The 27803-nt window shown below is 39.6% G+C and overlaps 1 protein-coding gene across 24 annotated transcripts in view, besides 2 other annotated features; it reads right to left on the bottom strand.

The window, feature by feature from the left end:
* The window catches only part of FTO (FTO alpha-ketoglutarate dependent dioxygenase), a 417979-nt gene that overhangs the window by 167527 nt on the left and 222649 nt on the right, over nt 1-27803 (bottom strand). For 18 of the 24 annotated variants that reach the window (NR_156761.2, XM_047434606.1, XM_011523314.4 and 15 more), the window contains one exon: nt 20306-20430. The exons of 2 other annotated variants lie outside the window; for them this stretch is intronic. Coding sequence is in view for 21 of the 22 variants with exons in the window: in XM_047434606.1 (XP_047290562.1) it covers nt 20306-20430 (125 nt within the window). In the remaining variant the exon portion in view is untranslated. Of the gene's footprint in view, nt 1-16524; nt 17167-20305; nt 20431-27803 lie in introns of those variants that run through there. 4 more of the 24 variants (XM_047434608.1, NM_001438130.1, XM_011523315.4 and 1 more) reach the window with 2 other exon arrangements.
* Nucleotides 134-1697: an enhancer, noted in NCBI's record as "VISTA enhancer hs157". NCBI's record gives its function as "enhancer in: eye[4/10]" and the evidence as "EXISTENCE:transgenic organism evidence [ECO:0001131][PMID:17130149]".
* Nucleotides 8164-8458: an enhancer, noted in NCBI's record as "tiled region #7594; K562 Activating DNase unmatched - State 12:CtcfO, and HepG2 Activating DNase unmatched - State 8:EnhW". NCBI's record gives its function as "activates a minimal TATA promoter and a strong SV40 promoter by Sharpr-MPRA in K562 cells, with weaker activity in HepG2 cells {active_cell/tissue: K562 | HepG2}" and the evidence as "EXISTENCE:reporter gene assay evidence [ECO:0000049][PMID:27701403]".

Raw genomic sequence — 27803 nt, 5'->3', positions numbered from 1 at the left:
AACATTGTTGGTTTTATTGTAGTAAAGATTCAAAACCCTATGTACCCTCTGAGGTAGGTCTAGGGAAAAAAAAAGTTCTGCCTCCTTTTAAATGAAAGGCCCATCCACAGGTAGCCATGTTAAAAGAAGATTATTTCTTTGTTCCACAGGGAAATCAGAGAACAGAGAATTTGATTTCAACAACTCTTACTAACTCCTCATTCTCGAGATGTGCTTAAATAGATCCACCTTTCCCCTTTTCCCCTTGTCTTTTTATATTTCAAAATGGGTAGGTGAGAAAACTGAGAACCTTGTTCATATCTATCAACAATCTATGAACATCTACTCCTTGCCAAGCATTAGGGCCAACTACTGGGCACTACACTTTCTGCAGGACCCTAGCCTTCGTCATTAAGTTTGAAGCTATAAGTGAAGGTAGAAAATGCTGTTGTTTTACAGATATACATTGGGAGTAGCTTCCGAAGCGTATTTTACTAGTTCAATATGGTAAGAAGAATTCAGCCATAGCTGGCATCACCACACATTGTTTCACAAAAATGCACTGTGGAGAATGGACACTGTACCTATAATTTTAAAAGATTTGCTCATTTAAATGAACCAGCAGCATTTTCTGCCACATAATGGAGAAATTCACAGGATGCTGGGCCCCTCATGGCTTCTGTGGCTATAAAAGCCCCTTCATGCTGGATTTTTTTATATTTGGTAAATTAATAGTTTGCTGTTCCAAGATTCCTACGTGTTTATATTATTGCTTTTCTAACATAAAAGTTTGCAGTTGTTATGGAAACATATGGTAACATTTGCTGCTAAATTTTAAATGCATTTTCTACCCCTGTTACACACCTGAAATGAAGCCAAAAACTCTTTTTGCTTTACATTAGAGTGAAATTCAAACTGGTCTGGGTGACTATAAATGGTTACTGTTTGTCTTGGCTCCTACCTGTATCAGATTTAGACTGAGGAATCTTAGGGAAGAAATTACACGGGATAAAATGGATATTTCTAAATTACAAGGCCTACAATTCCAGTGGCTCCAAATATCAGCTTTCTGTTTCATCTCAGCCTGCCAGAAAGAAAATGGTGGGGCCAGACAATAAAAGATAGACAACGTTTACTTTCCAGAGCCAAATGCTTCTTGTTTTGATTATACTGGAGAAGGAGGTTGCAGATCCTGATCAGTTAAGTCTTGTTAGCAAATTAAATGGTTGTAGACTACAATGGTGTAAGACATGAGTTTTAGCCCCTGGCTTCAAGTCGAAATGACAAAAGTATACATTCTTTCAACCCATTTTGTTCTGCAGTTTTCCTCTTTGAGCCCTTCACAATTCTCAAGTAATTGTTCATGATGACTCTAGGCCCGTGGGGAGGGTGACTTGGAAACGTTCATTGGACGGGTTTTCTAAGTTTCCCAATTATCCATTTCTCCATACCTTAACACCTCACCCAAGTCAAGTTTCCTTGTGCAATGTAACTAGTCATAAATACCGCTCAAAAAAAGTAGGCACTTTGGCTCAGAAAAATATCAAATGAGAAAGACAGTATGAGAATTCTCACCTGCTTGAGCATTTTTCTGGAACTTTAAATCAAGGTTAATCGAGAGTCACAGAAGAACTTCAAACATGTGCATTAGGTCTAGCTCTGGGACCTGGCAGATCCAATTCCCACCCACATCTCAGTCTTGTGGGCTGTATTCTTCCACCCATTTCAGCACATTTGTTGACAGTCAAGGTTAATTTTCATAGGTTAACTCTGTCTCTTCTGCCTTGGAATATAACCATGCTCTTTGCTAGAGAGTTTCACTTTCAGTTTCCCACAAGATTAGATACTGCTTGCATATATTTAAAGTGACTGGGGAAAAGAATTATGATACTTTTCTAAGTACGAAAATATGGGAAGTTGCCAAAGATTTTTTTTGCTCCACTGACCCTTGTCATCTGCTCTAGTACACATCCAGGATGCTACATAAGGAAGCCAAAGGCTCAGCAGGGTCCAGTCAGCTGCACAGGTTAGAGCCCTTCAGAAAACATGGATAATCATGGCATTATCATATGCTATGTTGCATGTTTCCATGTTGCTTCTCCACCTTTCTTCTTTAGAGAACAGAGAGAGAATAATATTTCTTAATCTATCACAAAAGGAAGTAGATTAAGAAGAAGACACCAGAAGCTGACTGCCTGGGCTCAAATCCTGGCTTGACCACTGACAACCTGTGCTATCCTGAGTAAATTCCCTAACCTCTCTGGGTCTTAGTCACCTTAACTATAAAATGAAAGAAAACAAAACAAAACTACTTCACTGGGTTGGTGTGAGGAGTAAGTAAGGAATATGGGCAAAACACGTAGAATAGTACCTGGCATACAGTAAAGACTCAGTGGAGGTTAGCTGCTATTATTATGATGATGATGATGATCAGCATCTTCTTCATAATCAATAGCATAATTATGATTGAAACATATGTTTCTGCACCCCTCCAGTTTATAAGGCCAGCATTTTATAAACTTTGATGATGTGATCCACTATCATGATTTTAGCCATATCCATGAACCACCCACATTATTGCATTTCTAGCATTTTTCTTTAAATCAACTTAAAAAAAAAAACAAGATTGATTTGAGTCTTGTCCTCAATAATATTAGTTGAAAACCATGGATCCAATATTCTAATTATGCTTTTCTAACCTAACGTAAAATATATTCAGTTAGACAGGAGGAATCAGTTTTTGAGATATATTGCATAGCAGTGTAACACAGTTAATAATAATAGAGTGCATGATTTCAAAATTGCTGAGAGTGAATTTCAAATGTCTCCCTATATACACAAAAAGCAAAGCATATAAATTTTCAAATAAAAAGTATTCATCAGTGTCTCACAGAATCATCTTGTGTGCCACGCACAGCGCACTACTTCAGGACTCTCTGAACTAGGCCTTGGCACATTTCACTAGAGTCTCCCTAGGCACAAACTCAAAGTCACTGTAGATTAGACAGAAACCCACCACCAAAATTATCCACATGGACAATACACAGCCTTGTTAAGGGACTGAACATGGATGACTGTCACTAAGCTTACTTGGCTTAGTACACATTCAGGTCTGAATCCTATCTCAGCACTAAAAAACTGAAAGCAGTTCCCTGTTATTAGCCTAAGTTCCTAGTAATGTGAGCATTGTGTTGGGGGGTAGCTTGGAGACGGGGTGAGGTCCTTGTGAAAGAAAAAAAGTGATGCTCTATTCAAAGGTCTTATCCAATCTCTGCAGACTGGTTTAAATGTATTTTGACCCTGTGCTAACCCATTTTCATGTGATACATTTGGTATAAGAAAAGATTAATTACTTACGAAAAACAAGCTAACAACTTTACAGCAAATATATTATCACTATATAGAACGGGACATAAAGGTTTCCACTAGCATCATTAGCTTCGTTATAATAAATGAGATGCTTTATGTGATGTATAATACGGTAAAGCCAACACAGCTGTTTGCTTCTGTAGGAAAGAGCCTAGGTGCACCGCACCTGAGTCTGCAAACACTTAATAAGCCCTCAACAACAAAGCTGCCTCACTGAGAACTCTGGTGGCTGAAGCCATTATCCACGGATAATTAACTATGTCAGGACACTGAGGTCCTAACATGAGGTCCTCATAATTCCCCACTATGGGAAAGACAGTAAAACATTATTATATTACTAATATTTAGTAAGAAGACTGTTCTATTTGTGTGTTATTAATGCAAGCTGTAAGTTACCGCATCATTTGAATTACTATTAGTTCTTCTGGGCACTCTCTCACATGAAGGGCAAAGCAGCCCTTTGCGCTTAAGAACAGGAAAGAAATACTTCCACGTGGATTAAAATTTTTTAAATGTATTTGTAATTTGTTCTGTTTATTTTTCCTCTGGCTGCATGAATATATCTACGACATTTATCACTGGAAAAAATATCACTAAAATGACCAATACTAAGGAAGCTCAAAGCTATACAATTGTAAAACATTTCTCGTATACTCATTTGATCTTTAGAAGAATCCATCATTTTGCTTTCTCCAAGTATCCTGGTCATTTTGAGACTCTCCCCTATAATACAAAGTATTTAAATTTCTCAGTAACGAGGCTTTTTGACGCTTGAAGACAAAAGCTCCAGTCCATTTATTAAGACGACTTCCTACTGTGTGGGGCTGTTTTTTTACCTCATAATTAAAATAGCACCTGAACAGGACCATCTGTGAGCATGGATTAAGTTTTTTTTTTTTTTTTTTTTTTTTACAAATGTGAATATCTTTTTTTTTCCTGCCAAATGCCTCTAAACCTCATATAGATTTTGTGTTACACACCAAAAAAAAAAAAATGTTTAAATAAACCTTTACTTTCCCCCCCCAAAAAAAGAAAATGAAAGTAGTTAGGGTAAACATTTTGCTCTTCACTGCAACCCTTCATGCATCAGTAAATAAACGTACAGCTATGTAATTTGTTTAAAGAACGAATGAACTGTCAGTCTTTGCTTTCTGTTTCTGGATTCTGTTCGTTTATGGCAACCCAGAGACACAGTTTGCCACTTAATTTTCCTCTTCCTTTTTCAAATACACACATTTTGGAAAAGACATTATTTATCCAAAAGGCTGCCAAGGCATTGGGTTAGGATGGATCTGGATATACAGACTATTTCACAAGCTAGTCTTATTTAACCAAAATAAAGTCTCACTGGGTTTTTTTTTTTTTTTTTGCACAAACTGCAAATCCATAAATGCAGAGATTATAAACATTGATACCGAAATTTCTTCCAGAGGATTTTCTGACCTTATGTTAACTCTGCCATAGACATTCGTGTTTCTTTGGAAATGTTGGCTTATTTTAATGAAATGGTTCCTTTGGTACAGTTGGGGCTGTGATGTCAACCTGGCTCCATTCTAAGAACCCTTATGAAATATTTACAGTGAAATTTAACTACACATGCGTAACAGCTGACTTCGGTGGCCGCCAAGGTTTAGGCTTACCTTTTTATCTTTCTTAAAGGAAAAAATATTTTTACATTTTCCTCTTCTCCAGAAGCTCAAACCCTCTTGTATTTAACAACTTCCCAACTCACACCTCTATGTGACCATCAGTGTGGAGTGGTGAGACTAAAAGATGATTCTGGCCACATGACATCTTTGTTCAAGCTTCACTTCTACAGTGAAAGAACAGCTGGGTTCCCCCATGGAGGAGATGGGAGCTAAAGCAGGAGCTCAAGGGTGTAACAGGAGAAATGGTGATTCACTAGCAATAAGTCCCAGTCCTTCCTTTCTGAGAATTAAACCCTTTATCAAATTCAAAACTGCCAACATTTTTGTGGACACCTTTTTATGGTGACAATGAGCACCATATACACCTCATTCACTTTTGGAAACTCTCATATACTTTGTTTATAAAAGGAAAGATGAAATAGTGCCAAGTTCAAGGCAACACACACGTACACACATACACACTCACGCGCAAGAACCTACATGGAATAATGCAATGTTACAAGGTCACAAGGTCACAGAGGCAATACACAGATTGTGTACTGGTCTCCCAGCCAGGGTCATTCCTTCTATTCTTGAGAAGTGTGAGAAGATGGAGAAGGTTTTTAATTCAAAGCAGTCAGGACTTTCATTCTATAGCAGAATCCTGCCCACAATGTCCAGGCTCCACACATGTTTTGATTAGCCTAACAGTTACAAATATTTGAATTCATGCTAACATTTAAATCACTGTGAGACTTCGGAAGCATACACATACAATATGAATGTTCCACTTCTGTTGAAAATGTGGAAGACCTACTAACATAGATCCTGCCTCCTCGCAAGGCTGGATAGCAGCTGCCTGGCTGCCCACTTGAGACAAAGTGTGAATGTCCGCTGGCCAGGAGACCAGAAGACAATCTGGGTATTGCCTCTGTGACCTTGTAACATTGTTCTACTCTATGCAGATTCTGGCATACACACACACGTGTGTTTTGCCTTGAACTTAACAGTGTCTCACCTCTCTGGCTTTATCTACATACATGATTACCATGGCCTACAGACATCTGAATCTGCAATCCCTGGTCTGAGTTCACTAGCATTCACTAGAAAACTCACAAATATCCAACTCTCATGCCCCCATCATCAAAAGCTCAGACGAATACTTCCTTCAGAAAGCCCGGTGCCTCTTTGGACATGAATTCACTATTCCATGTGTCCTTCAAATCCCTCCAAACCAGGTCTCTTATACAGCCGCAGTGTAATGATCTGAGGCACTCTTCGTACAAAAACTAGTAGATGTGTGAATGCAATAAAAGTGCTCAGAAACACACAAGGAGAAATCACCAGCTAAGGGAATGGCTCTCTTACTTTACAATGGCGAGTTCTCAACCTGCCACCGAAACCACCACTGTTTGTGTACGCGTCACTCAAACTCAGACTTTGATTTATACATGCAGGCGTACTTTCTTAACACACCCTCTCTGACTTTTCTGCCATAGCCCGTTTCCAATGCCACTAGAAGATGCTGTGCTTAATACAGCTTCCCAATTCTCCAAGGCCCCCTCAAAGCTTTTAAAGCTAGCATAACATGCAGAATTTCAAATGAAGTACCAACAGCAGAAAGATCATTTACAGTAACTATACAAACAAGCTAAATGAAAGACTTGTGTTCAGTCATTAAAAATAATAATGCTAAAGCCCCGAGGGCTGAAATGTAAAGCTTAGACTTCGTGTGAGGAAATAGAAAAGGAGTGTGTTTATTATCCCAATAAGATAACCTGTTAATTTATTTAGTAGGCAATTTTCGAGTACATTCGTCCACAGTGAAATCTCGCTTTATCAGATTATATGAAAAATCACCACCACAAATAAAATGCTCGTTCAAGCCAGGGGCTTTTGCAAGATAGAAATTACCAAGTAGGAGACCAGTAAGGGGTGGCTGGGAAGTGCTGCCACTAATAGCTTCCGCCCCCTTATTCTCCTCCTCTCCTGAACCAAGCCCAGAGTTAGTTATAGAGTTATCTATCTCACACTTTGCAGATGATGCCTAACATCATGACAACAGAGAAGAGGAAAGGTCTCTGGACCTGCCTACCTACAACAAGTTTCTGTAAAGTAATGAATACAGACAGCTTGGGGACCATCCACCTGCGCTGCCTGCCTCTTCCTGCCTGCAAAGTGAAACCACCAGGGATTGGCAGAAGGTACTTGTCTGACAGGGCCAGGACAGCCTTTCTCCTCAGTGACAGCCTGGGCCTACCCTCTTAAACTTGACCCACCATAATTCCTTCACAGTGCAGCAGCAAGGCAGCTGACAGTAGCAGCTGCAGCTCCTAAGCGAGATGGATGGAATTTTCATAACTAGTTCCCCAAGTTACATTTTACCTTCAAGATAATTTATGAGCTGCTCTGGAGCCTTGAAGAGACAATATGCTTGCCATAAAATTAACTGTAACAGTCTTGTAGGTTATAATTAACACTGGGAGGGTAGCACCAACTGGATGAAACACATGGCGTAATTGATGGTGAAACTGGAAATGAAGCAAGCTAACAATATCATTACTGTGCAGGCTGCCTTAGCAAAACCTATGCTTTCCGAGGGTTCATTGCAGTTGCCTCCCAGGCCCGTATTCTGGTAGGAAAGAGGCCAGAGCTGGGCAGAGGGGTGGAGGTTTTGCTGGCCAGGCCATGGGGTACCTGGACAGATACAATGGCTGTCAACAGTCTGGAAAGAGAGCCGTAGCACAGCATCTGGTCATATGCTTCCTGGAGTTCAGACCAGGCCCTACATAAGCCTTCCTTGTAGATATGACTTCATTTTTTCAGTAAACAGCAACTTTTTCAGTGAAAAAAAATATAAGAATAAAAAGAAGACAATAGGAACTTCCAAAACGCCCTTCCAAGGATTGGGACATTTATTTAGCATACATTCTGGAAGCAAAACAACTTAATATGAGCATATCTTAATAAAAAATGAAGATGGTTAACTAAACCTAAAGGTTTATTAAACTAAAAAGTAACGTCCTGAGCACCCTATCCAAAGTTGACTATGGAGAGAAAGGTAATCAGAAGAGTCCCATCAAACACTCCTGTCTCAGAAAGAACCACTAACCTATTTCTTTCACGCATGGATACTGAACAGTCTGACCAATACCTGAGAAGTCCTGAACATTCTAAACACATTGGAACGATTCAAATAATTCTAATAAGCATTTTCAAGGTGATTCAACTATTTTTTTTTGTTTTCTGATTTGTTTGGTTTTGTTTTTTTTGTCCTGGGACAATAGACTGGAAAATTCTAATAAATGATGCAACAGTGTCCCCTACAGGCCAGTAGAGCTGTTCCTTCCCCTTCCCCCATCCTCCTCCACCATGACTTCCTCAACTGAAAGCCAGAGTTAAACTTTTATCTATAACATTACAGAGTAAATTTGTAAAATACACTGGGGATACCCCTGAGATAGAATAAAATTACTACTCTTCATGTGTGGTAAATTGTTTCCTAGATATAAACAAACTGTACAGCTGGTGATTAACCCATTATGGAGTAGATAAATTGCTACCCTTTCACCTTAAGGGCACCCACTGAAATCAGCCTTGACTAACGCAGCCCCAAAATTACTTGACTTAGAGGATTTACAGAGATTTACAGATTCTTGGAGGCTAAACTTTGGTGTTCTAATTTTCACCCCTACTCTCCCACCTTCTAAAAGACTGTAACCAATATAAAAGAAATGACAGAGCATATAAAGGTGATAACTTTCCTTTAAAAGATCCATGGCAGGGAGATTGATAATGCATTAGCTGGATACTATTTCCTTATAGAGATGCACCCACAACTAAAAAGTGTAAAACATGTTAGGTACCAGAGGAAATAAATATGTAAAGATACATACCTGCCTATCTCCACACTGAGAAGGATCCTAGAAGGTCTCTAAAATACTAAGTGAATCGTATCAGTGGTTGATTAAAAACTAAAGCTTTGTTATTGCTCTTGGCCAACCTGGGCCGTCTTGGCTTAAATTCCATCTTCACTACTTACTAGCTGTTGCCTTGGGCAAGTTACTCTGCACCTCTGTGCCTCGGTTTTCTCATCATATAAAACATTTAAAACTCTGTCTGGAACACAGTGACTTCTCAATAAATGTCAGCTGCTATTGTTGTTAAAATTAGTACAATTGCAGACTTCAGGGAAAGTGGAAGTAGAGGAGTGAAACCCATCAGGAGTAACATCCACTTTTCCCTGCTCCCGGGGATCTCACGTATGGAGCCACTCCTTGTGAGAGCTGGAAGATGCCTCCCACTTTTGGGGCGATCGAGATCAAGTCGCTTCTTTCTTACATAAAGTTGCTAAGGCGTAGAGTGTCTGTGACATGCCCAGAGTCCTATAGTCACTAATGATGGGATTCAAACTGGAGTCCAGCCCTCCACCTGTCAATTCTGTGTGACACTGCTGAGCACAGAGCACCAACTCTGTCTAGTGTTCTTCCCTGCACCAATTTTGCAATATCAGGCCCCTACCAGGAGGCTAGGATATTTACTTCATGAGGCATTCTCTCAAAGGAGAGGCCAATTTGGATAAGGGTGGCTGGGTTTATTCCTGGCTTTATTGTTTTGATCTGAAGATCATGATAGGTCATTTTTATTGAACACCTAATACGTTACAGGTACTTGCTCTGGGTGTTTTACATTTAATCACTTAATCAACCCTATGAAATGGGTTCTATTATTATCATCCCCTAGGCAAATAACAAACGAGAAAATTGAGGCTCAGAGGGGTTAAGTAACTCATCTAGTTACAATCCACAATTGTAACTTGCCTGGAGTTATAGAAGTGGATCCAAGATTCAAACCCAGGCAATCTGATTCAGAATCTATGCCCCCAAACATATTAATTAAATTTACTCTGAAAGAAAACCATTTTTCCTCCACAAACTTTATACAATGGAAAGAAGGTAGCACAACTTTTATACAATGACCTATCCTCACGTATAAATTTCTCTCCTATTTCTCACTCATGCTTTGAGACAAATAGCTACCTATCTACTGGTAGCCAACACAATTGGGGAATGGAGCAGTATTTCTCACTGTCGCTGGGCACATAATGAGAGTCTTATGAGAACACTTAAGGAGAGCCTGTCTTCTTCCCTGGGATGTGGGTTTCTATGGAATCATGACTCAATCTCTTCCATAGTATTTATGATTCTACATTGTGTAATACATTTCCCCTAATCAAATGTTACTCATCTCTACAACCTCAGGACCTAAGATAGCTCCTCATACCAGGTAGGCACTTAAGAAATATTTGCAGAACCAACGCATGACTGACAGATCACTCCCAACAACAAAACCCAGCATTTATGAAGTACTTGAGTGCATTATCACAGGTAATCCCCCAACACCTATGAGATAGGTATGGCTTTGCCCATTCTCTCTTCAGAGAGATTTGTCAATATAATGTGGCCTGAATTTAAGCCTTCCTTCAAATGAAGACCTTTAAAGTGACGCAGGTCTTGGAAAAGTAAATGGGAACCACGGTACGGATAATTGAAGGAGAATTTATGTTACGGATTCCCTAGGATGGTGTTCCTCAGAAAACTGGCATCCCACGGCTACTTCCCAAATATGACCCACTGCAACTTGAAATGTAAATTTTATAACAAGTGATTACTTTATAACAAAGCTCAGAAAAGAGAACTGTGTATCTTTATCTCAACTGAATGACTTTATTTTGGTCACTGTTGAGTGCTGGTGAATATACAGGGCATAGCAACTATATGCACATTTTATAAAAGAAATTTTCAGAGTTCCGCTTAGGAAAAGAGTTCATATCTGTCATTCCACTAGAATATAAGCTCCATGAAAGAACTGTCATCAGTTCTGTTCACTGCTGTGAACCTGGAACAGTGCTTAGAAAACAATAGACACTTAATAAATGTATGTTGGATAAATAAATGAATCAATGTTTTCTCAAAAAGTTTAAGAAGCACTGCCCCTAAGAAACAGCCAGCCAGCAACTGATCACAGTCAGAAACCTGCCAGAAACAGAGTTCATGCTAAAGCCCATGTGTTGATTTTATAAATAAGATGCACAGAAGTCAATTGGCTTTTGTCCCCCATAAAACTGTTCAAATAATGACAGTAACAATGGTAATAACATTAACAACACTTGCCTCCTTAAGATAAGTTGCTGTATCTTGGGGGAAAAAAGTAACCCTATCTCTAGACTCATTTAATCTTTGCTCTAAATTTATACAATGTTTCAATTCCTACACATTTTTGAGGAGGTTTTATGGAGTTATCAGGTTTTATGGAGTAATCTGGATCAGAAACACAAAGAACTTTCTTCTGCTAAGGGCAGCAAAAAGCAGAGACTGTAATTATTAAAAGCGAAGGGACAGATGTCTTAAAAAAGACCCGGATGGCAACTAGCAGGCCAGTGCCTCCCTGCTTCTCCCTGGAATCTCTTCCATTTATTCCTCATGCCCACCCCAACACTGCAAACAAGTTTACCTAGTAGCAACTGACAGCTACCGAACTACAGATGCCACAACTTCTAGTTTCCAACTAACCAGCTGTGCCGGAGTAAGCAGCCAGTCTCTTTAGCATGAATGATAGCAGCTGACGTGGTCCGATGACACAATCACAGGTTGTCTCAGCAGATAACTGCATCAGTCTCATTATCCCACAGCCCATCCTCAAGGTGAGGAGCTCCACTTTTTGTGAACACAGCTCCAAGTTCTAGTCCACATGCCGAATCACCAACGCTAAAGTTCATAACTGTGCTGATATCACTAAAGCAGACGAGGACATTAGCAGGTGACCAGGAAAAAACAGCTGCCTACAGACTGGAAGCCATATTAGCCTCAGCTTTGTTCCTATCCCTACTGAACTAAAACCCATCCCTTTATTCAGAGGCATGTCCCAGGGCTGTCTTTATAACTCTCTTCTTCCTCGCCATGCCAGTTCTTCCTCTTCTCACCCAGCTCCATTTCACTTCTAGGAAAGTCAACAAATTAGGAATGGTGGCTCAGGGAGGAGACCATGTCTTTTTGTCCTGGTCTTAGCCCAGTCCCATGGTGTTCTCTTCCTCAAGTACACTGGAGTCAGCCTGTGCACATGGCATCCCTCTTTGCTCATGCTGGAATAAGGGCCTGTGGTACCATGTTGGGGCTTAAACACCAGAGAACTGCATAGTAGAGATTTCTCCTTACTTCCAGTTTCAAGGCTTCCACCCCTGGCAAGGTTAGATGAATAACCAGTGCTTACTTCCAATATCAGAGATCCATCCTGACTTCGAATTTCAAGATTTCCACACCAGGCAAGGTTGAGAAAAAGAGCAAAAAAAGCAACAGGCCAATATCACAAGTGGTCATTCCTCTTCAAAATTAATAAAGCAGACAAAGTACTTATAAACACTGGAATAGATTGAGAGGAAAGGTATTTCACAAATCTGAGTGTCAGGCATTCTTCTAGATGCCAGGGATATGTGGTAAACAGGCAATGAGGTCCTTTGATAGAGGGCATTATTCAAATGGAAGAGATAGCTTAATGTTACAAAGATCTGGGGTGCAAATTTGTTCTTTTGTTTTGAAACAGGGTCTTGCTCTGTCACCCAGGCTGGAGTGTAGTGATGCAATCGGCTCACTGCAACCTCTGCCTCCTGGGCTCAAGTGCTTCCCCCTACCTCAGCCTCCCAAGTAGCTGGGACTACAGGTGTGCGCCACCGTGCCTGGCTAGTTGTTTGCACTTTTTGCAGAGATGGGGTTTTACCATGTTGCCCTGGCTGTTCTCGAACTCCTGAGCTCAAGCAATCTGCCCGCCTCAGCCTCCCAAAGAGTTGGGATTACAGGCCTGAGCCACTGCACCTGGCCTGAGGTGTATGTTTTACGGCTGGTAAACAAACAAACGTCCAATCCTCATAAAACTTTCATTCTGGTAGGAGAGATAAAAATGTAAACACAGAATCAAGTCCATATATAATTAATGTCAGGTTACTTCATTTTTTAAGCTTCTATCAAAATATAAGTTCCCTTAGGGCAGACCCCATTGCTAAATTACCTTATGGTTTCACAGTGCCTCATAGAAAAAAGAGTTAAAGGGTGTGTGCTAGCCATTGTATTCTTATTAACTACCACCTCCACATTAAAGTAAATTATTCCACAGTTGAGACTCACGTCATACTCATCTTGATATTCCCCACAGTGTCTAGCACAGTTACTTGCACCTAACAAACACTCAATAAATAATAGTTAATTGCTAAACTGGACGGTGCCGACTTGTCGGTTTTGCATATAATCCGTGACTAGCTAGGAGGCAGAAGGGGAGACAGATACCGGTGGAGAACACCTCAGTGTGCTAGTTGATCCATATAAGTAACTTATACAAAGTGTTATACTTGTTGAGCCCCGATCAAAGTTCTAAAGCTGATTAACTTGGAATAGTAAATCCTATTCATTACACATTCTAGGTTCCAACAACCAGATTTTACAGCCTTAACAAAGATGTCCAGAGTGGATCCATTCTGGGGGTAGGTGGTGATGGGATGGCTGGGGTCACAGAGAATAGAAAGATGACTAATAATAAGACCGTTGTTTTACCAGTCCAGAAAAAAATGGGAACTTAGACCAATATGAGGAAGATATTTTTACATAAAGTTATCTGGATCTTAAGAGAGTCACTTTTAAGTAGAAGCAAGTAGTTCTAAAAGCTTTTCGAAGAAACTTCCATAAACATTAGTTGAAATGAATCTCAGCACCATTTTTAAGGCTCCTTCGACCCAAATGAAGTTGTCTCCTATGGGAGTACAGTAACTCCTGTTTGAGCCTAAAAGCTAAAGAGCTATAAAGGTACCGAGTTTCCATTTAATCAGGCTACATTCCTATCCAGTGTGCAATGTTGAATGAAATGTAAGAGAATGGTAGGAGAAATAAGTAGGTAATCTCTAGAAAAAAATAAGTGGGGCCACATGCAAATAAATAAAGAGCCAGGCCTGACCATGGTAACGGGGAAACGTGCACTGCTGCAATTTAATGACAGCCCCATTTGGAACCTCACCTCTTCTACAAGCCAAATATTCTTAACAGGCTTCTGAGCTCTTTATCACCAACAAGAGGGGTAAGTCCTTAAGTCCGCCATGTTTTAAAATGTCCGATTGAAAAAGCAATAGTTTTCAAAAAGCACAGGAAAAGATGCTCGACACCATTAGTCAATAGGGAAATGCAATTCAAAACCACAATAATATACCACTAGGATATCTACAGTCCAAAAAAATGAAAATAACAGGTAACGACAAGGACATAGAAAAATGGGAAACTTTGTGCGTTCTTGGTGGGAACATAAGATGGTGTAACAGACATGAAAAACAGCCTGACAGTTCTTCAAAAAGTTAGACACAGAATTACCATATGACCCAGCAATTCCATTCCTAGGTATATACCCAAGAGAACTGAAAATATGTCACTCAAAAACTTGTACATGAATGTTTACAGCAGCATTATTCATGATAGCCAGAAAGTCAACCCACCCAAATGTCCATCAATTTATTACTGTCCAACAACCCAACTGCCCATCAGTTGATTACTGGATAAATAAAATGTGGCACATCGATATAGTGGAATATTATTCAGCAGTAAAAAAGAATGAAGTACTTATATGCTATAACATGGATGCATCCTACAATCAGTATGCCAAATGAAAGAAGCCAGACATAAAAGGTCACGTATTGTATGATTTCATTTATAAGAAATGTTATAAATAGGCAAATCTGTAGAGATAAAAAGTAGACTGGTGGTTGCTCAGGACTGTGGGGAGAAGGGGGAATGGAGGGTGGCTGTTAACAGATGCCGGGTTTCATTTCTGGGGAAGGAAGATGCTCTGGAATTGGATAGTGGTAACAGTTGCACAATCTCGTGCATATACTAAAAAATCACTTAACTGTACACTTTAAAACGATAAATTTTGTTATATGCAATTTTACGTTATATATGACTTGTACCTCAATTTTTTAAAAACCCTAATGACCTTGCTTTCATCTCTTTTTTTGGTTTGCTTTTTGTATTTACACCTCACTTAGCAAAAATTTAGGGCCATGGCTTTAAAGTTAAAAAGCACAATTGATTCTCAAAGTATTTGCCATCTCCCTGAATTATCCTCTACCTGGCTTTCTGCTCACTCGAAATGCCCCCAGACATAGATAGTCAAGCCAAAACCTTGATGAAAAATATGCTAACTTTGGATAATGTTTAGAAGCCTTCTGTTTTGATTTTTTAACATAATTATTGTCTGGGTGAGGCCTGTATTACGAGTCAGTATAGTTCAATATAAAGGGTTTTCTTTTTTTATTTTGAGACAGAGTCTCGCTCCCAGGCTGGAGTGCAGTGGCGTCATCTCGGCTCACTGCAAGCTCCGCCTCCCGGGTTCATGCCATTCTCCTGCCTCAGCCTTCCGAGTAGCTGGGACTACAGGCACCCGCCACCAAGCCCGGCTAATTTTTTTTTTTTTTTGTATTTTTAGTAGAGACAGGGTTTCACCGTGTTAGCCAGGATGGTCAGCATCTCCTGACCTCATGATCCGCCCGTCTAGGCCTCCCAAAGTGCTGGGATTACAGGCGTGAGCCACCATGCCCAGCCAAAGGGTTTTCAGTAACACAACAATTCTAGTCTTCCAAGACATCTACCATTAAATACTTTCCTGAGTGGGTCAGAGAACTTGCCGCTCTGTTGTGGTAACGATGGTTCCACTGCTTTCCCTGCCACTGCCTTCCACAGCCTCTTTCTAGGAACTTTCTACATTCTCATCCCCAGATAAACCCTGAAATTGGCCACTTAGCTCACTCCCTATTATGCACAGCATCTCATGCAGTAGGTATACAAAATACACAAAAAGATGCTCACTGAATGAAATCATTCTCCCTTCAGAAAGTGGACTCATGGCATGTGCCACTCATCTCTGCAAAAGAACAGAGCTACATGGCCTCCATCATCACTGGTCTGAAATCAAGACTCTATGTTCATGAGAAACTGGGGGAGAGCTTTAAATAGACTAATCTTATCAATTAGCGATAAATAAATAGACGAATAGCGTATAGTGACCCCATCCATTGTTGGCAATAATTAGCATCACCATGATGTTTCTTTGAAAAAAGGAACAAAGAAAGAACCAAACGTAACTACTCAGTTAACATTATGTGCTTTCTTCTTATATTTACAGAAAAACTGCCAGGTTGTAGTAGGAATAAGACTCTGTTCAAGAGTCACACATATATTTAGTACTAAAGAGTGCACAATAATCAGTGGTCAGATGCTGACATGGACACACTTTTTTTGGAAAAGCATTTTCTCTAACACTTGATTTACCTACATCACTGAAATGAAGCAGGCAGGCAGAACAAAATCTTTGATTCTCATTCTGACTTCTTCAAGGCAAAGGAAGCCCATTCCGTTCCTGAAGCTAAACTATGAATAATTATCCCATAATAAACAACACCCTCAAAATTTTCAGCCATCTAGGAAAGACGCCAGGGCTTTGTAGAAAATAAACAAGGCGCTGATTTTTATTATATTTTATTTAGAAAGACAACTCGGGTGTGGACATTGAACTGTACCTTTTCTTTGGAGCACTTTTCAAATGATAATTTCTTCCACTGTCACCATTAAATCTTAATCCATTCCAGCTCCTTGCATGGGTCATTGAGTCTATATGTACTGCTGTTATTTTAAAATGTTTCCCCTTGGTAGGGAAAGAGGGGGAGAAAAGATGTTGAGAGCCAGATGGGCCTCTTCACAGTTCATTTATCAAACCTAATACGCCGGGCCCCACCCTCCTCTCACTCACGATTGCAGTTAAACTTCCATATAATTTGGTAATCATTTTCATTATCAGAGAGTGACCCTAAAGTAGCCTATCCTGGGACACCCGGTCCTTGCAGCTGCTCTTTTTCTGCCTTTTCCTACAGTAGACCCTAAGAACCTCAGAGTTTATTAGCTGCAGACTGACCTTTGGGCTACGCAGGTCAAGAAGGGGTCAGATCAGAGGGCTCGCCCAGTTCTTTAAAAGCTATAACAAGCTGTCCATCAGGCAGAGGGGACTGGATAAACAAAGGCGAATCTTCAGAAATTCTGTCCCACTTCTGTTAACACTTACCCTGCATTCACACAGCTTCTCCCGATGTCCTTTGGATCATTCAACTCTGGGGAAGTGAATAGACAGCCCTAATAAGCCTATTTGGAGAGGGTTGTTTATGGGATTACGAAGCTTGGAGAAGGAAACCCACAGCACTCAGATGTGCCTCTAGAGTCGCTGGGTTGTGTGACACTGTGACAAACTCGGTTACCCCAAGTCATGCAAAATTGACACTTTCCTCAAAAAGCTAAATTACAAGGAACATATGCTTCAGTTTAAGAGACTTCAGTGAGTCCCAAACAATGGCTTGGCGCCTGACCTGAGAGACAGACAAATATTTTACAACCAGGTTACAAGTTTTACTTTAAAAATTCTCCCTAATATGATCGCAAATGAACCTGCTAAAGAGAGGTAAAAACCTTTATTACAAAAGACTTATACTAAAGTTACTGCCAGCTGCGGCGGCTCCGTTGACCTAAATTTCTTGAAGTTGTACAATTCATAATGCACTCTCTAATGTGCAATATAAGGTAATTAGAGTCATGTGTATTTAACTTTCAGAGGAAAAAAATTTCTATTATCTAATCTAACTGATCCCCTGATAGCTTTGATGAAAGTAAAATACTGTAACCTATTGCTTGGCCTTTGGTGAGTGCTAATTATTTTCTGTCAAAGCACATTTTTCCTTGTGTAATTCCGAAGTACACAATAGGCCAATCTCTAAAACACAGGCTGCTTAGTAAGCACTGCAGTGGATGTTTTATAACTTTCACCACCACCCATTTGACGGCTACTCGAGGCAATGCCCAATTCCAGACAGCCAGATGACACTTTGATGAGGAAAAGAAAGGTGTATGGTAACCGTCTGTTTATACGGATCGCATGGATGAGTCTGTAGATAGGTCACTAAGATGGGAAACATCAAATGGAGGTGGAGAAGTGGTGGGGAGAAGGATTATGGTTATTTAATACTCTGAGGACACTTTTCCTTCTGAGATCTCAAGACACCAGCCTCTTGAAATTTTCTTTCAGGTGTTTAGTTTTAAGGGGGTCTGCACAGTGTCAGCTGTTAAGCTCTTTCTTTCCTCCTCCCTTAACACAAAGGACTTGAGAATTTTTGTTTCAGTTGCTAGACTACATCAACTTCAACACTGGCTCCAGCTCCTGATTAAATTGTTAGCAGTAAGGGCCAGAAATGCTGAAAGCAGATTCCTTTTAAACAGGCCACTTTGACCATGTTGTCTAATGATTTGGTGTATTAAAAAATTATTGTTAACAAACCAAATGCACTCAACAAAAGACATCCATTTATGCTCTCACTGGGCCACACGGTCTTTGGACGGAAGGGAAGCAGAGGAGATATTACAGGGAAATTCTTTCTTCCTCCCTTTCTATTTAATTGGAATCATCGTGAGGGCGACATAAGACATCAAACAGAGACAAAGAAACCCCTTAGATGTCCACAAACTGATATTCCATTCCTTACTATGTATACTTTAATGAATATACATGCTTAACTTATAATACAGAGAAAATTTTAAAATTAATTATTGAAAGGTAAATTGGAAATCATTTAGTCATTACTTTAGTTGAAACCGTCTGCCACTGGGCAGGCATGGTGGCTCGCGCCTGTAATCTCAGCACTTTGGGAGGTCAAGGCAAGAGGATCGCTTGAGGCAAGGAGTTTAAGACCAGCCTGGGCAACATGACAAGATCCTGTGTCTATTTTTATAAACATTTTTTTCTAAAAAGAAAAAAAAGAAACTGTCTGCCATTTACTCCGACCACACCACCAAAAAGATGGGGGAAGGGGAGGGTGAATATCATTGGGAATTTTTAAATTACTGTTTAAATACAAGTCTGAATTTAAAGATAATACATATTTGAAAAAGCAGCTTTCTGATATCCAATGAGAATAAATACTCATACTGTCTCCTTTCTTGGAAAATGCTCATCTTCAGCCTTGTTCAGACAAACTTATTTTTATGATAATTATTACTAGTAAAGCTATCAATTATTATAAATTCTGTTGCATGAAGTCATTTGGAGAATATTATGTCTATCAATAAATGTTCTTGACTTCCAGGCACATAGAATTTTTAAGCACCAAATAAGACTCTGAGACAAAATATGCCATACGCTTCCTGATTCCTCTCCCTCTGGCTTAGAGACGGATGACAATTCAATAATTTTTACAAACTACAGATCTAAAAGATAATCCTAACATTTGCGAGAACTAGTTCTAGCCTCCCACATATCAACTGTTTTTCAAAACAGAATAGGACCACATGATATTTACTATGCAAGCATCAGTTCTGTAAAAACTGATGATTTAAAGAAAGTTTTCACCAGTAACACCGTTTCTAAGCACAGGCAACTCTATGGAAAGAGACCAGGTTGAAACAAGAGTCATTCCTAGTTGGTCAACCCTAAAAATCGGGTTGATAAATAGGCTACAGTCATCGCCACGTAACAACATTTTGAGGTTTTGGTCAACGGCGAACCTTATATATGTCAGTGGTCCCGTCCCATAAGATTATAACACCATATTTTTATAGTACCTTTTCTATACTTAGCTATGCTTAGATACACTAATACTTATTGTTGTGTTACAACTGCCTATAATATTCAGTACAGCAACATGCTGTACAGGTTTGCAGCCCCCGAGCAACAGACGACACCATATAGCCTAGGTGTATAGTAGGCTATGTCATCAAGGTTTGCGGGGTTCACACAATGGCAAAATCACCTAAGAACACATTTCTCAGAACCTATCCCCATCATTAAGGGATGCATGACTATACTTTCAAGTAATCTGCCCTGCATAGAGTGATATAGGAGCACTATATGGATTTCTCAGACATCTGCTCTAATGAAATAGCAATGCTAGTCTTTTACACTGTTGATTAAAAAGGGTTCTTCAGCATCAGGTACTTATATTACATTATGCTCAAAATGCAAACACTTATGCTAAATGTTATATTTGGGAACAAATTGTGTAAATATACTGATGACGTCAATGGATCATTACAATTAATGTAGGTGCCGTGGGCAGGAAAGCTAACTTTAGCTGAAAGCATCTTAAACGTGCTTATTTTTCATGGGCCCTCAAAGGAAAGGGATGAGGCCAGCCATAAGGAAGGGCTTGGCCAAATATAGTTCTTGTTTGTCAAGAACAACAAATCCCATTTCACAACAGAACTAACCTGGCATGCCATTCTCTCCTCAGGTTCTGGCGTGCAGTGAGCGAGGCAAGGATGGCAGTCAAGATTTCATTCCTTTGTTCCACGGGGAGCCCCTCTCTTTTAACTTCATGAAGCACAGCATTTGTCTACAAGAAATGATCCAAAACAGAGAAAGAAAAAGTGAAAAATTAATAATAAAAAAAAGCCCATAAGCAAATAAGGACAGTAAATCAATGGCTTTTTTATTACAGTTCCCCTGCTAACAAATCAATGCAGTAAATGATGGCCAAAAATGGCCGGCATATATTTTGTATTTAATCAATGTACATGGCACATAAGGTAAACTCTAAAGCTCCATTGCCTTAAGTAACACATCAAGATACTGCGCATTCTTACTCTAATTTTCTCAGCACACCAACGATTTTTTTTTTCCTGGGAATTGCCTACCATGAGCTATTATTAGAAATGATTTTCACGTACACTTCACTGTGAGTTGTTTGTTTTGCCTTTTTAAAAAAGAGCAGCCTCTGACTTTCACTCTCTTGTTTCCTGCCACCCAGCTGAGGCTTTCTCTGCCTCTCTTATTTGAATCATTACTTTAAATTTCTACCCATGCCAGCAATGTTTTGTGGGGGAAGAAGGGGGAAGATTCACTCATTTTCCTTGCCTGTTGCAAATCAAGATCTTGCAAAGAAAAAAATGGGAACACAAAAATCAGAAAGACCATTTCTTTGAATGAGTATCTCAAAGAACATCTTTAGATTTTTATAGATGTTGTTTTATAATTTAAAGTTAGTGTGGCTTCTTTGGAGATTTTATAACCAAAGCAATTGCTAAAAGGAATGAAATTGCCACTACAATTTCAATGAAATTGTCTGTGTTCTAAGTCATTCAATATATTCCTTATCTAACAGACGCCAATATATTTGTTTACTTAAAGAGCATACCCATAACCTGGTTCTCCTGTAACTTGAAACACTACTCCCTTACTCTTTGATAGCATTTGACAGCGCATATTTAATATCTTCATGACAACCTTGAGAAGAGGAGTAGTGAACATTTGTTGTTTCTATTGCTTAAATCCATACCTCATCCCCTTTGTCTGGCAACATCACCTAAATCTCTTCTTACAAAGTCTTTTCTTTCATGGTATAAAGTCTTAGAGGGACTGTCAACCAAGGTGTCCTATCTTCCCCTATGAAGGATGTGGGCCAGACCAAATTGATTCTTTTCCAGGATTTCAGACTCTTGAGAGGAATGATAAAGAAACGGGGGAAAATGCTGAGGCAATTTATCAATTCCCTTAATTCCTTCCACCCATGGTCCTCAGAGTATCTCTAGTTTCCAGAACTTTCCGAGGCCAGATCATTCGCTTTTCCTTTGATAGTGTCAGTCACCCAATATCCTTTCAATAAAGTCCCATTTTGTTTAAATTCACCAGGGCTGAGTGCAGTGGTTCATGCCTGTAATCCCAGCATTTTGGGAGGCTGAGGCAGGCAGATTGCTTGAGGTCAGGAGTTCGAAATCAGCCTCCCTAACATGGCAAAACCCCATCTCTACTAAAAATACAAAAATTTGCCAGGCGTGGTGGCGTGCACATATAATAACAGCTACTCAGGAGGCTGAGGCAGGAGAATTGCTTGAAATCTGGGAGATGGAGTTTGCATGAGCTGAGATCACACCACTGTACTCTAGCCTGGGCAACAGAGTGAGGTTCCATCTCAAAAAAAAAAAAAAACCACATCAGAATCTGTTTCTGTTGCTATCAAAAATGTTAACTGATACAAACAGGTAAGTCAGAAAATAGTACCTCCATTGTGAAGAAGCCTGGATAATCCACCTGACACTAGCCAGGAAAAGGACCCTGATTCTGCCTCCTATCCCAGTATTCCATCTACTGTGCTGGAAGATATGCCCAGTTGGACACTCAAGCAGCTTCTGTGGCAACAACATTTTCAGCCCTCCAGCACAAGGAGGAATGTTCAGCTTCTCTAGGTAATTCCAGTGCATGAAACCCAGGATCCACAGGTTGCAAATTCAAATACTCACTGGGCCAGGCACATAACATGAATGAGTTAAGCAGAGGTTACTGAAAGACAGCACATGTTCTGCCTAAAAAAGGCACGCACTATTCAGATCCAGCCAGCTCTGACATTCAGAAAAGCTGGCTCACTGATGCTAGATTCATGAATTTTCAAAATAAACAAGAAATCTGGTATGTGCGTGTGTGTGTGTGTGTGTGTGTGTGTGTGTGTGTGTTTAATGTAAAAACTGATTTTTGTAAATCTTGTAAACTCATTAAAATTTTTTAAAAAAATACCATGTGGGTCAAATGAGAAACACCAATGGGCTGAATAGAACTTAGGCAGCTACCAATTTGTGATCTCTAATCTAAAAGATGTCTAATTTCAGAGAGGTCTGAGCATTAGCGGGTATTCTAACAACGGTACTACTCCTTGTCTGTGACACCCTACTTCATGTTCTTAAAGTTGAAAGGAACCTCAAAAAGTCAAGTACTTTATCGGCCAGGTGCAGTGGCTCACACCTGTAATCCCAGCACTTTAGGACACCAAGGTGAGTGGATCACCTGAGGTTAGTAATTCAAGACCAGCCTGGCCAACATGGTGAAACCCCGTCTCTACTGAAAATATAGAAAATTAGCTGGGTGTGGTGGCAGGCGTCTATAATCCCAGCTATTCGGGAGGCTGAGGCAGGAGAATTGCTTGAACCCAGGAGGCGGAGGTTGCAGTGAGCCAAGATCGCGCCATTGCACTCCAACCTGGGCAACAAGAGTGAACCTCTGTCTTAAAAAAAAAAAAAAAAAAAAAAAAAGTCACATAGTTTGTGGTTATATCTGTGGATACATATTATTTTACCAAAATGCAAAAATGCATCAAATGAAAGACAAAGTAGACATCTAGCTAGCTAACATGATCAAAACAAAATTTTTCCCCCCTGTGAATCTATTAAAATGTTTATTTTTTAAAGTCATTTACCTCTTCCTTGCCTTTCATATCATTTACATTTTATCCAGGGGCCCTTGTTTTCCATAGGCTCTGAACAGCCTCTAAGAGGGGAAGGATGTAAGAAAGAAAGTTTCACAAAGAAAGGGGATGTCGCCTGTTTAGTTCAACACCGTATCCCCATTGCCCACAAAATATCTGTCAAATCAGTGAATAAAGAAGGGACTTGAAAAATAAGTATTACAAAAACAAAGAACAATGAAGGCTATCTTCTTTTAAGAACTATTACATAAATTATAAACTCATAAAATGGATAAACTAAGAAATAGTTATGTGCTTTATCAAGGAGCTCTTCACTTCACAAAAGGATTCACTCTAAGGTTTCTTTAAATAACCAGATCCTCTAGAAGTTCAAGAGTTTCCTAAACTTCAGTTATTCTAGCACATCCTCATAATTCTTGCCACATTTGTATATGAACTATGTAATACAGTATTTAATATTTTTCTTTAAATTGACTCATTTTTCGTAGTAATTTCTAGATAAAAGTAAAAAAAGAAAAAATGATACTATGATAATTGGCTCATTTTTTAAAACTATAAGTTCACTTCAAAAGAAAAATGGTACTTATAAATGAGAAGATAATTGGCCTGGCGCGGTGGCTCAGGCCTGTAATCCCAGCATTTTGGGAGGCCCAGATGGGTGGATCACAAGATCAGGAGATCGAGACCATCCTGGCTAACACGGTGAAACCCCGTCTCTACTAAAAACACAAAAAATTAGCCGGGCGTGGTGGCAGGTGCCCGTAGTCCCAGCTACTCAGGAGGCTGAGGCAGGAGAATGGCATGAACCCGGGAGGCAGAGCTTGCAGTGAGCCAAGATCGCGCCACTTCACTCCAGCCTGGGAGCGAGACTCTGTCTCAAAAAAAAAAAAAAAAAAAAAAAAAAGAAGATAATCATAAAAGTAAATATAAACAAAACTATATATTTATTTCATTCTAGAGAGATACTGTTGCTTGCTGAGGGCTCTGAGACTAAAGCATGCTCCCTCTTTGTAAAGGAAGATATTAACAAGTGGTGGAGAATAACGATGCAGCAGATTTAAATGAAGACTTCCTTGACATAATCACATAAACAGATGGAGCTGAAGAGAGAATCACTGCCTCACAGTGTGGTCCTCATGTGCAGAGTCCCCAAGTGCCACCTAGCATCACCCTGTATCACCTGTGGTCCACATCTCACATTGTGGGTGCACTTCCCTACTGCAATGGTTTTTAAACACTTTGCAGATAAAACTCTTTTCTCCCCAAATGTATCCTTACATGCAACTCCCAATATATACAACAAACAAAACTGGAACAGTTCTCTTTGAAGCTGGTATGGAGGACCTAGAAGTCCTCCCTTTGTTTTGGGGCATCTTCTCAAAGCCCCAAGGCACTGCGAAACACAATTTGCCAACCCCAACCCAAGAGCATCTAAAATAGCATTTAAGTTTTTAAAAGTTGAGACACTACTAGGAGGAATGCAAAATACTACCATTCTGACAAACGGTTTGGCAATTTCTTATAAAGTTAAACATACGTTTAGCATATGACCTAGCAATTTCATTTACAGGGATTTATCTAAAAAAATGATAACTTATGTTCAAACAAAAACATGTACACAAATGTTTATGGCAACTTTCTTCATAATCACCAAAAACTGGAAACAATCTAAATGTTCCTTAAAGGGTAAATGGATAAATACACGGTGGTACATCCATACAACAGAACACCACTACAGCAATAAAAAGGGCTGAGCAACTGATGTATGCCATCACTCAGCATCTCAAAGACATTATGCTCAGTGAACAAAACCACTTGTTTGACATTCTGGAACAGGCAATACTGTAGGGACAGAGAACATAACATTGGTTGCTAGGGATTCGGTTGGGCAAGACGCAGCATAAGGGAATTTTTGAGCATGATGGAACCATTCTGTACCTTGATTGTGGTGGTGGTTACGTGAGTTTATACAGATGTTAAAACTCATAGGACATGTGGCTCATGCCTGTAATCCCAGCACTTTGGGAGGCCGAGGCAGGTAGATCATCTGAGATCAGTAGTTTGAGATCAGCCTGACCAACATGGCAAAACCCTGTCTCTACTAAAATACAAAAATTAGCCAGGTGTGGTGGCATACTTCTGTAATCCCAGCTACTCGGGAGGCTGAGGCAGGAGAATCGCTTGAACCCAGGAGGCATAGGTTGTAGTGAGCCGGGATCATGCCACTGCACTCCAGCCTGGGCAACAGAGCAGACTCCATTTCAAAAAAAAACCCAAACAAACAAATAAAAACCATAAAAAACCTATAGGGTTGTATACCAAAATAAGGCCAATTTTATTGTATGTAAATTTTATAAAATTTAATTTAACTCAAAAACTTCATTTGCATCACATTTTTAAAACAAGAAAGAATGCAGAAAACAAGTTTCAAGTAAACACATCTAGCAAATAAGTAGTAAAAATATAAAGAAATATAACTTAACGACAAAAACAAATTCTGTTACAAAAAACTATTTTAATATTAGAAAAGGAAGGGTGAACTTTGAACATTCAAACTCTAAAATTTAGGGTGAAAAGAAATCATTGCACAAAAGGAAATTTCAGTGTCAAAAGAGCATTCTTTTTACAGGGCAATTAATGTGATATTTTTACTCCTTATAATAGTGTCGGCTTTTCAAGGGTTGACTTCCCCAGGAAATGTTTATAGACCATTTTCCCATTAGTAGTAACATAGAACTGTCTTCAAACAAGTAACAATTTTTAAACAGTCTCCTATTACCAAAAACACATTCTCCCTCCCCTCCTCCCAAAATACAGGAGAAAACCCCCACAGGTTTAGGAAACGTGCACTGGTGGCTAAATTTCATTTCATTAGGAAACGTGTCCTGGTGGCTAAATTTCATTTTATTAGTACTTTTTTTCAATAGAAATCTATGGAAATGCAGGCCAGATCAGAAAGAACTAAGTATTAATATATTCTTTAGAGTGCTGGCTGCTCAAATCCCCGCTGTCACCTCCTAGCTGTGGGTCTTTCCCATAACTCCAAATGGTGATAATAACAGAACCTCTCCACAATTCTTGTATTAGTTGCCTGGTACATATGCCATCATGATTATTATTGTTTACTTTCATCTTAAACTCTGCCAATCTACCTTGTGCTAGGTTATGCTAGTTTAACAAAGGGATTCCTGAAAATGTCTATTACTTTAAGTGGAAAAACTTTAAAGGAAATCAGGCAACCACTGAACAATCACAACCATAAAATTTTTATGTACCAGAAGCCAGAGGCATATCTTTTTGCATATCCCTAGTGGTGGAAAATCTTTATCTCTTTATCCTTTGAGGGTGGGTTTTATTTTTAGAACAAGTTCTGATTTCACTTGATCTCTCTCCATTAGTGGACACCTCTCTCTCCTGGGCCAGTGCCCGACACTAAGCTGGTCCTTCTCAGTCTCCTGTATGCCTTTCCTCATTCTAGGATGAGGAACTGTTGTTATCCCAAGGTCATACCTTTCATCCTCCTCTCATCTCTTCGGTTTGCTCTCTCTCTGGGTGATCTGCCCTTCCAATGGCTTTAAGGGTTCCCTGTAGACTGCGGACATCTCTACGCTTCTACCTTCAAGCGGACCTTTCCACTAAGCTCTGGTCCCATACAGCCAACAACTGACTATCTTCCTTAAACACACTGCCTCAAACATAAGATTTGACCTTCACCTGTCCACATTTGAACTATTTTTGCTCTCCTTCCACCGTATTTCCCTAGAGTGGTGACTGCACTACTATCAATGCAATAACCCAAACTAGAACCCTAAGAATCACCCTAATCTTCTTCCCTTTCCTTTCCTGCACTGCCTATACCTAAACATAAAAAATCCTGTGATTCTTCTCTCTTCAATATGACTGAAACTTACCCCTTCCCCACTGCCATAGGCTTAGTTCAGGCCCATCTCTCTTCTGGACCATGTAATGGCCTCCAAACTGATCTGTCTGTGTCCATCTCACCCCTTTCATTAATTTTCCTGCTTCAAGAGTGATCTTTTAAAAGTATATGTCCAAACATGTTACTTCCTCTTAAATAATTCAGCATCACCTATAATAGTGGTTTTTAGGCTTTCGTCATGAAGCCCCAGTGCTTCCACGAAGTTTCTTAGGGTCACCAAGGAGACAAGGAGCTTTGGCTTCAAAATCCCACCTAAACCAGAGCACCTTTGTTTATATATGCTTCGGTTATTGGCATTTGGAGGACACACACAAAAAATGATTTTTTTTTTTAAATCCAAATTCCTTAGCCTGGGGAAAAAAAAAACCCTTTTGATACAGGTCCTGCTTACTTCTCATATTTTATCTTCTATCATCTTCTGTTTCATATAAAACTGTAATTCCCTAAAAACACATGGCTATTCTATACTATACTTCGATTTGTACCTTTGCCATATAACTTTCCAGTAACTACTCACTCTTCAAGAAACATCTCAAAAACACCTCCTCTGTGAAGTCTTCCACAAACTACGTCC

The sequence above is a fragment of the Homo sapiens genome, chromosome 16 (assembly GCF_000001405.40).
Source record: "Homo sapiens chromosome 16, GRCh38.p14 Primary Assembly".
In the NCBI taxonomy this organism is placed as follows: domain Eukaryota; kingdom Metazoa; phylum Chordata; class Mammalia; order Primates; family Hominidae; genus Homo; species Homo sapiens.
This window is presented reverse-complemented; position numbering and strand designations above follow the sequence as displayed.